This window comes from Homo sapiens, chromosome 7 (assembly GCF_000001405.40).
Source record: "Homo sapiens chromosome 7, GRCh38.p14 Primary Assembly".
Lineage (NCBI taxonomy): Eukaryota > Metazoa > Chordata > Mammalia > Primates > Hominidae > Homo > Homo sapiens.
The window spans coordinates 7,534,243-7,544,081 of record NC_000007.14 but is presented as its reverse complement, the minus strand read 5'-3'; the positions used below and the strand labels follow the sequence as shown (position 1 = coordinate 7,544,081).

Here is a 9,839-nt window from a genome sequence, read left to right as displayed (position 1 = left end):
GGATGCTGCTGTTGCTATCCTTATTTTTATTGGGCTCCTCCTCATAGTCTTCACTTGCGGATGTGGAAACTGTGTAAGGCTTTCAGAACTTACAGGTCCAGCGTCAAAAAGTGGCAGAACCAATTCTCAGACCTGTGTGCTGTACTCTTTTAAGAGGCAAGAGCGCACCGCACAGCCTGGAAGTTAGGTATAGTCTCTGGTGTGCTGAAGATGGCTCATGTCACCTTGTGAGGGTCAACTGCTAAATTTCCAGAAATTTTTTGAGCCAGTTGTTAACCGCAGATATTATTAAATGTTGTATTATATATTTAACTTACAAGTAAATAAATTACATTAAAAACAATAGTAATAAATACTCAAAACTCATTACTTCCTAATTATTTACTAAATCTTACTATTGTGTGTGTACTTGAAGTTGTTTGCATCCATGGCAACTATATGATGGAAATCCTGCATAGTGGTATGCTGCTATATATTTGTGTTTCTCTTTGCAACCCTGTGTTCAGTGATGTCACATTAGTAATTTGAAATCTGACATAGTAGGACTTTTTACACAATAGAAATCTGCTACAAATTAGGGCTTGAATTACTGTCTTATTTATTGTCTAGGCCAAAGAAAGTGATGGAGAAAACAATAATGCAGATTAAACTCAAAAGTGTATTTTATCTGTAACAGTTGAATAAGAAAAAAACTAAGAAAATGTTTCAGTATTTGAAAAGTATTATATTATTCAGCTACAAAGTTGCTTATATCATTGACAAACAAATGAAGTTTCAATGCACATGCACCTTTTTCTTTGTTTCATTTTTGTCTTACTTGTTCAAGAAGAGGAAAATGCCAACCAACATTCTTGTTGGAACTATACTCATTCATCAATTACAACCATAGATTGGCTAAAGATATAAGAATTTGGCCAAAAATCAATGAAAGCAATCTGTATGAATCAGTTTGCTATATAGAATTTATAATAGAGAATATTGTGTATTTTATTATTATTTGAAAATTTTATACCATACGTTCTTTATCAATAACATTTCTGATAAACTTACGTATGTATATGTGTACAATACACTTTTTTCCCCAGAGAGACAGTTATTAAATACTTTTTGGCAGACTGCTGGGTACCATCTTTCTCCTTCATTTCTTCCACTTTCCTAGGCCAATTAGGTACTAAGCTCTTTGATTCTGCTTCTTAATATTTCTTAGACTTCTTCACTTTGCATTCTCATTGCTGGTACTTGAGAGCCTTATCTCTCATTGGTGTCATAGTAAGTTTCCTAGTAGATCTCAGCCTCCAAGCTTGTTTTCCTGCCATTATTCACACAGCAATCAGAGTGATTTTCCTAGCATGAAAGTGTGATCATGTCACAACCCTGCTTAAAATTGTTCAGTGGCTCCCGTTGCTTTCAAGATAAAGTTTAAACCCTTTAACATGGCATAAAAGAAACCACTGTTTATCCTCTGCTCCTGCACTTCCAACTTCCATATCACAGTCTGACCTGGGTGCCCTCTGTGTAAGTCTCTTTTATAGATGTTATCACACTATATTGCTCTTGCTCTTTTTGGCCTAATATTTTGTTATGAAAATTGTCAAACATACAGAAAAGTTAACAGAATTATACAGCAAACCCATTACCTGCCACCCAGATTTCACAATTGTATTTACAATGAACATATTTGCTCTATTGCATAATCTACCCATCTACCCATTCTTCTACCCGTCTCTTTTCTTCTCTTTTTCTTTCTTTTTTTAGATGGGATCTCACTCTGTGGCCAGGCCGGAGTGCAGTGGTGCCATCTCAGCGCACTGGTTCAAGCAATTCTCCTGCCTCAGCCTCCTGAGTGGCTGGGATTACAGGCATGCACCACCACGCCCAGCTAATTTTTGTATTTTTAGTAGAGACGGGGTTTCACTATGTTGGCCAGGATGGCCTTGATCTCCTGACCTTGTGATCTGCCCGCCTCGGCCTCCCAAAGTGCTGGGATTACAGGCGTGAGCCACCGCACCCAGCCCCATCTTCTTTCTTTATGATGCATTTCAAAGTAAGTTGCAGACACTGGTAAATTTTGTTCCCAAACCCTGCAGCATGGTATTGTCAACTAGAGTTAGATATGTGATTACTTAATTTTTTTTTTTTTTGGGTAAAACTTGCCATTGCTCTTTACTTGCTTATTTTCTTCACTGGGTTGAAGTGACTGCATCTATCTGTTTTCTATCCAGTGCCTCACATATAGTAGAAACTAAGTTGATGTTAGTTAAGTGAATGAGTTATGGATTTCATCAGATGTTACTTAGAGAGCTTCTTGATCCTATATAAGAGTAGTTTTATCACTCTTTCGTTCGTCTCCTCATTCTTCTGCCCAAAAAAGCTGTAGAAAGCAACTTTTATTCCACCCGTTCAGCATCACAGACGATTAAAATTTTTCATCTGTTAACAATAGTTGACAAACTCTCACACTATGTCTTTCTACAAAGTCCCACAAGGTGGTGCCCAAATATCTTTTTTCAAACAACACTTCCTGAAGACCCATGCAGAGTCCTGACTAAATTGTGTTAGTATTTGGCATTTCTGAATTTGGTCAATTAGAATAACAGAAAATATATAATTAAGTAAAAGTTACTCAACATTAAATAACATTATATATGTGATTTCAAAATCTATAGTTCTGGATATAAACAATGAATAATGATAATAGGTACTTTATTTCTGTGTAGAATTTAGTATTATTAAAAGGTTGTTCATATCCCCAAATAGGAAAAAAAAAATTCACCTCAAGTCCCCTTTTCTATAAATTTTGTCCATGAATAATTTACCCTTAGTATAGAATTTCTAAGGGCAGAAGGAGAAACAAACTGTTGTGCAGGAGGAACTATATAATTTAGATGCAATGAAAAAAACAGATGACCCTATTACCTTAACTGGGAACAATGTTGTGTAAACCAGCATTGTAACGGCTTAATATAACATGGGATAATAAGTTACTTAATGCTCTTAAAACACTTTTATTCCAGAAATTTAGAAGAGTTATTTTAAAACTTTTTTTGGATATTCTTATTAAATCTCAATACACTGACCAGAAAACCCAAGTAGGTATTGTGTTTCTACAACTTAATATTCATGCAAATGATGATATCTACCTATATTACTGGCTATGTTTTGATTAGGGATCAGTTATTGAAGTAGCTGTAACAATCCCCAGCTACTCAGATAAACCTGTCCAAACCTGGAGGAGAAAGTTTTTCAACCCAGGGTTCGAAGAGGTGGTGTTCATTGCCTTTAATGGCCCAGGCACTAAGATTTACACAGTGAGAGGTGAGACTCTTTAATGTGCTGGGACTTAGCCCATGATGATTTGTTCTGAGCCATTTGCCACTAAAGTTAAATCCTTATAAATATAAATTATTAGCCATACAGCTTCCTTTTTCTCCTGCTCAAGCACAAGCCTGGATAGCGCAAAGGCCTAAAAATTTTCTAGGGCATTTAGAGATAATGAAAGATGGCCACTTTGATGCACAAAGACCTAAATTTTAGTCCCTCACTGATTAATGATTTGACCTTTGGGTGGGTCTTAATATCTGTCCTCTATTTTATCAACTGTGAAATGGCAGAATTAAATAAAAGTGGTTTCTAAGTTTCCTTCCAGTTCAGAGATTTAACACTATTGTTTGTCCCCAATACAAGAAAAGTTTAAATACCAATCAGTGGTTATCAAATAATTCACCAAGATCTAGAATAACACTGTCTAATATCTGAAAGTAAAATGAACTAAGTGAAAAATAGAAATATTTTGCCATTTAAAGCAGAGTTTAGTCAAGGTATAAATAGATCTGATCTTTCTCTATTTGTAGGCTCTGCATGAAAAAGTTAAAACTGCTCTATCCATTGACCAAAGAAAATAATTAAAGAAAAATATTGAACATTCAAACCTATGATAGGACTAGATCAATCTACTTTCAGATATTTCTTAGAAAAAAAATTGTAAAACTTTCCAGATGGCACCTTGATTTATTTTTGGTCTAAAATAATTGCATTTAGTCAGGAATAAACAACATGGAAAGAAGAAATATTAATATTGAAAAAATATTTTAGAGAAAGAGATTAATAGTCATAAGATTGGTATAACGGGAATTTAGCCTGTCACTGTAGCCTATGAGGCACTGTGTGTTGCAAATGTGACACAATTATTCAAGCTGGGGATTGAATGACAAATAATGAAGCAAGAGATCTTAGGGAGTAAACGATATAAAAGATAATTGAGTCCGTGTTGCTGTACCCCGAAACTGCTCTAAACCATAAAGTTTATTAAATAATAGTAACAATTGAAAAATAGTAGAGGGAATGTGGAAGGATCAACTCAATCAGAATTTGGTGAGGGCATAGGAACTGAAGTCACGCTGTTCCACATTTAAGCAATGCCACATCCTGTATTTTATTACCAATGATAATTTTTATTTTCTTATTGTCTTTGAATGCTTTTAATCTTTCCCTTTGTTGACAAATAAGACCAATACAGTTTTGGTGTTTGCCATGGTTTGCATATTTGCCCCCTCCAAACCTCGTGTTGAAATTTCATCCCCACTGTTGGAAGTGGGGCCTGATGGGAAACGTTTGGGTCATGTGGGTGGATCCCTTATGAATGACTTAATGCCATCCTTGCGGTAATGAGTGTGTTCTCTCTGTATTAGTTCCTGGGGGAGCTGATTCTTTAAAAGAGTCTGACACCTCTCTCCCTGCTCTCTTGCTCCCTCTTACCATATGATCTGCACACGCTGGTCCCCTTTCACCTTCTGCCATGAGTAGAAGCAGTCAATGGCCCTCACCAGAAGCAGATGCTGGTGTCATGCTTCTTGCATAGACTGCAGAATTGTAAGCCAAATAAACCTCTTTTCTTTATAGATTACTCAGCCTTAGGTATTCCTTTATAGCAACACAAAATGGACTAAGACAGTGTTCCTCTAATTACTGATGAAGGAGTTGAGAGAATGCCTAGGTCATATTCTGGGTCCAAGGATAATGAATCCCAGAAATTTCAGAGCTTTGGGGCAGGTGTTAGAAATTCTACTATATCAAGCTTTTCTACTGACAAAAAGAAGAAAGAGAAAGAAAGAAAGAAAAAGAAAAAAAGAAAGAAAGAAAGGAAAGGATCTTCAAGAACAAATTTCTTCAAATCAGGTACGAAGGTCATTAATTTCTTCCTTGTTAGTTGGTAATGTTTTTTTTTTTCTACTCTAGATCAGCAGTGTGGGAGGTGGCTAAAATAGGGAGAAGCTTGTGAAACTATACTATGCCTTAATCTTGGTCAAAATATATAACTTTGATTTGTTACCAGCCTTTTTTTGTGTGTATTTCTATGACTTCATGCAGATACAATTCTCTGAAATATGTAAGTCCTAGCAGACTTGTCTCTTTTTAAATGATTCTAGGACCCCAAAATATCATCACCACTGAAATTAAGATGTTGGCACTGGTACTAGAATCAATAAACACAATGCAGATGCTACTATGGTAGCATATTAAAAGAATTTGAAAAAGTTGAAAAAAGATTTTCATCTAGCAGAGCTTTGGAGAAGAGCAATTTATTGTATCACAGACCTCAAGTGACTGATAAACACTAAAAATTACTTCTAATAATCATTTATTTCACAAATATGACTGCTTACTCTGGGCTATTTATAGTAGTAACAATGAAAATAGTGTGCTATATTTCTTCCATAAAGACTTTTACTACAAAATAACTGTCAGAAGGGCATGGGCTCCACGTTGCCTTTTTCTAGTCATTATGGTTATCCATGCTCTCTTATTTGTTCTGGTGTAAGTCCAATAGCATACTAATTCAAGACCATCTGTTGGGATTAAGATTGTGGTGCATTGTTTCTCTGGGTGCAAAACTAATTGTCTTTTATAGATTGATGAAACTGAAGATTTTATTTTGCATAATCTTCCCAATTAATTTAGTGCTGATTTTCACGCTTGAGAATGAGAGGTGGCAAATCTTTGGTTTGAGTTACCCTATTTAATGTTGGAGAATGAAAGGGAATGGATGACTAAGTTGGACTCCAACCTCCCACCAACTTTAATCAAAACAGCTCCAAGGCAGGAGGGCTTTAGTCCATTTCCCCCATCTAGGAATCACCTGTTTGCTTCTTAGTGGCATTATTATTCTGCATGTTTTTAACCTGCCTCAGCAAAAAGAGAGTTGACCTGAAAAGATGCTACTTCCTTGTCTCTTGATTCTCATCTTACAAAAGTAAAAAGTGTGACTAACACCCATAGGCTATCAGGTAAATACATGGTTGTTCCCTAGGAAATTCCGTTGTTATTTCTGCATTATACCCACCGTTTCTTCTTTCTGTTACCAAAGCCTCACAAAACTTCCTCAGTTCCTCGAAACCTGTTTTGTGAGGAGGAGACAGTGAAAACACAGACGTTCGCATAGATACTTAATGATGCAGTAGTTGTTATAAGTGAGGCTCACAGGTCTTACCAGCCTGAGTTAAAAGTTCATTTTGCCATTCTCTGGTTTTAGTATGACAGCGGACAAGTTACTGAACCTCTCTCTGCCTCCATCTTGGAAAAATTCGAATTCTTACAACATCTACTAAGTACAAGGGGTCCTGGAATAATATTTTGTTCAATGTCATTTTGTTATAACATTGATGAGAAAAAAAATTCAATTCCTGGGCCAGGCTCACTGTGTGGAGTTGACATGTTTTCCCCATGTCTGTGTGGGTTTTCTCCAGGTCCTGGAGTTTCCTCCCACATCCCAAAGCTTTGCCCATTAGATGCATTGGTGTGTCTACATGGTGCCTGTCTGAGAGAGTGGGTGGGTGTATGAGTGCCCTTTGACAGTACTGCATCCTGTCCAGGGCTGGTTCCTGCCTTGTATCCTCAGCTGCTGGGACAGGATCTGGTCAACCGTGACCCTGAACTGGAATATGCAGGTAAGCAGTTATCTTGTTTTTATCAATCTTTCATAAATGTATATATAGCTTAGATTTATTTCAATGTTTATTATTAGAGGTGTTTTGAGTATTTAGAGGTTTAGTGATGTTTTTGTGACTAGGAATATGCCATAAGAGCTTAACTCTTATTTATATCAATTAGCTCTTGGGAAAATTGTCTTCATTATCAATTGTTTCACTTTATGTCACAGTTTCCAGAACCTACAGAGGACATTAAGTGAGGACTTACTGTATATAGGTGGTTGTGCTTGTGAAGGATTAAATGAGGTAATGTGTGTGAAGCACTCAGGACAGTGCCTAGCACCTGGTAAGTGTCCATGAATTGGAGGCTATTATTGCTGTAATAAGGAAATTCATACACATTAAAATGGCTAAGAAAGTTCATTTTAAATAACCGTAACATGCACATTTGTATTGCTTTCTCGGATGATCTTGCTATTCTCTATTTCAGAGGAAGTCCGTGGAGAAGCCTGCCTGTTAGCTGTCTAGGGGTCAGGTGGCTTCTTGGCAGTATATATTACATGATAAACATTGACTTAATATGGACCATAACCACAAGGTAGAAAATAGGGAAACAGGGAGTGGAAAAACCACAGTGATCCTTTCCTAGAGAGAGACCAAAATATTAACCGCTGTAAACCTCTCATGTTACAGTTCGAACACATCTTAATAAATGATTAAATCTACTCTCTCATTTCATAAGTGGGGAACTGAAGCCCCCATAAAAGTTAGGGGCAGAACTATGACTATACTCAGACCACTCTTTCCCTGTATATTATATATACCTTTTATTATAAAAAATTTCAAAAATCACAGAAATACAAAGACTAGAACAATGCACACCTATGTACTCATCATCCAGCTTTAATAACAATCAAACTGTTACCTCTCTTAAAAAAACAGCTTTGATTCTGAGTCTGGTGTCATTTATACTCCTTCACAGAGATGTTCAGAACCAGTATCTTAGAGCACATCCCCCAGGCAAAGAAATGTAGCAATAAAAAGAGAAGGACATAGCATGAGAAAAAAAGGCAGGCTGTCAACCAATGCCTAAAATGTAGAAAGTTCTCTCAAGTTGTTTTTACAATAGTCTGGAAAACACAGTCTCATTCTGAAAGGACACTGTTCCTTTAAATTGCTTACTGATCCCACCCAGATCTTGCACCCTGGCCAAATGCCTGACCACTCTTGCTTTGACTTAGTCGAATAAACATGAACAAAAGACTGCAAAAGATCCTAAAGCAAAGACACTTTTATTTCCCACAGAACAGAACAATATCAAATAGCTAACTTCACCCCCAACCACAGTCCTTGCTGTTGGCATTTACTCAACTAGTCTTTAATTCCTGTTTGACAAACTTTATAAGGTAAGACATAACAGATTTATTTTAGTCACTTGAAATCAGATAGGACCATCAAGGAACTGTGGAAGACTAAATGACTTACTTACATAATTATTAGGTGAGAAAGCTTGTCAATAGTTTGTATTCTCTGCAATTACTTCAAATCAATTATTAGAAAAATATTAACATTGTTAAAATGTAGAAATTTAAAACTTAAAATTATTTTGAAATGGATTTTTAATTTACAGTCTTCTAAATTGTTTTACAACGATGTTAATATATTTTAGGACATCTTTTTCTTAATTTGGAACAGGGTTTACAATTCAGAATTAGTTATAGAATACTTTACAACTTGGCTAATTTGTCAATTTGAATAAAGTCTTTATTCAATCATTTTCTATTTGTGTAGAAACTGAGATGCAAACATTGTAACTAAAGTTGGTGAACTCTGATATAAGATCATTTTATTTTTGAAAAATTATAAAAAATAAAGTATCTTGGATTTATTTACTGATCCTGATATTTACCCCAAATAAATTTTAGGCCAAAAGTAAAACTACGGTATTTGATTAATAATTATGATTGTTTCTGCATTTATAAAATGTAACCTATAGTAAACACAGAGGTTCACATTTCTTTCACTTAACTAATGGCACTGTTTCCTCTGAAACCTATTTTGCTTGTACGTGACATCAGAAAGAGAGAAAGGTGAGAATTATTAAAAACAGAGGCAAAATAAAACATGGTAAAAAGTGATTAGAAATGAGTGGGCTCTCAAGATGCCAAATTAATAAACGAGAAAGATATTTCAGGGAAGCAGTAGAACTAACAAGCTAGAGAAACAAATCTAGAGAGGTATGAAAATGTCCTCTGGCTACAATAGGGAAACAGAAAGAAATAACAAGACTTTGGTTTGGGAGAGCTAGATTAACAATGTCAGAGCAAATAAGAACAAAATATGAGATACTGGGATTATTGTCAATGGAAAAGTTATGTTTGTGAATATCATATATACAGGGATCAGGTACAAATTCATGATTATATGCCAAGAAAACAGTAAGAGCAGGTGCTTAGTTTTGGGAAAAGATAAATCTTTATTTAAAGCCAGTATTTCTAAAACCTTACATGAAGGGTTTTGAAGAGTTGCTTGATTATGTTGCTTATAAAATCTTGCTCAGTTCTCAATGGAATTCAGTTCTCAGCCTCTTATTTCCAGAACTTCTGAGATGTTCCTTATGGTATGAACTCAACCAAAGAGAAAAGTCATATGTAATACCATGGCCATGGTGTTATTCCCTTTCCCCTTTGAAAATGCAATAACAACTGTGTTTTTCACATAGCCTTATCTTTACACTAACCTTCAGACTTAAAGTTGTACATCATTTATTTTTTTCCTTGGTTAGCAAAGGGACAACTTGAGGAGAGATGGCCTTTGTGTGTTCTGTTTCCTTAGCACATTTCTTGGTTTTGTTTTGTTTTTAATACCCAGCTGTCTTTACATTTTAGTATACCTTGTCTGAGGATCAGTTGG

General features: G+C 35.7%; 1 protein-coding gene across 11 annotated transcripts in view; it reads left to right on the top strand.

Annotated features, from left to right (window-relative positions):
• The first annotated feature begins 211 nt into the window (after positions 1–211).
• The window catches only part of COL28A1 (collagen type XXVIII alpha 1 chain), a 205,677-nt gene continuing 196,049 nt past the window's right edge, over positions 212–9,839 (top strand). For 9 of the 11 annotated variants that reach the window (XR_926936.4, XM_011515360.3, NM_001037763.3 and 6 more), the window contains exon 1: positions 8,209–8,332. The gene's annotated coding sequence lies outside the window, so the exon portion shown is untranslated. The other 2 variants (XM_011515358.4, XM_011515359.2) reach the window with 2 other exon arrangements.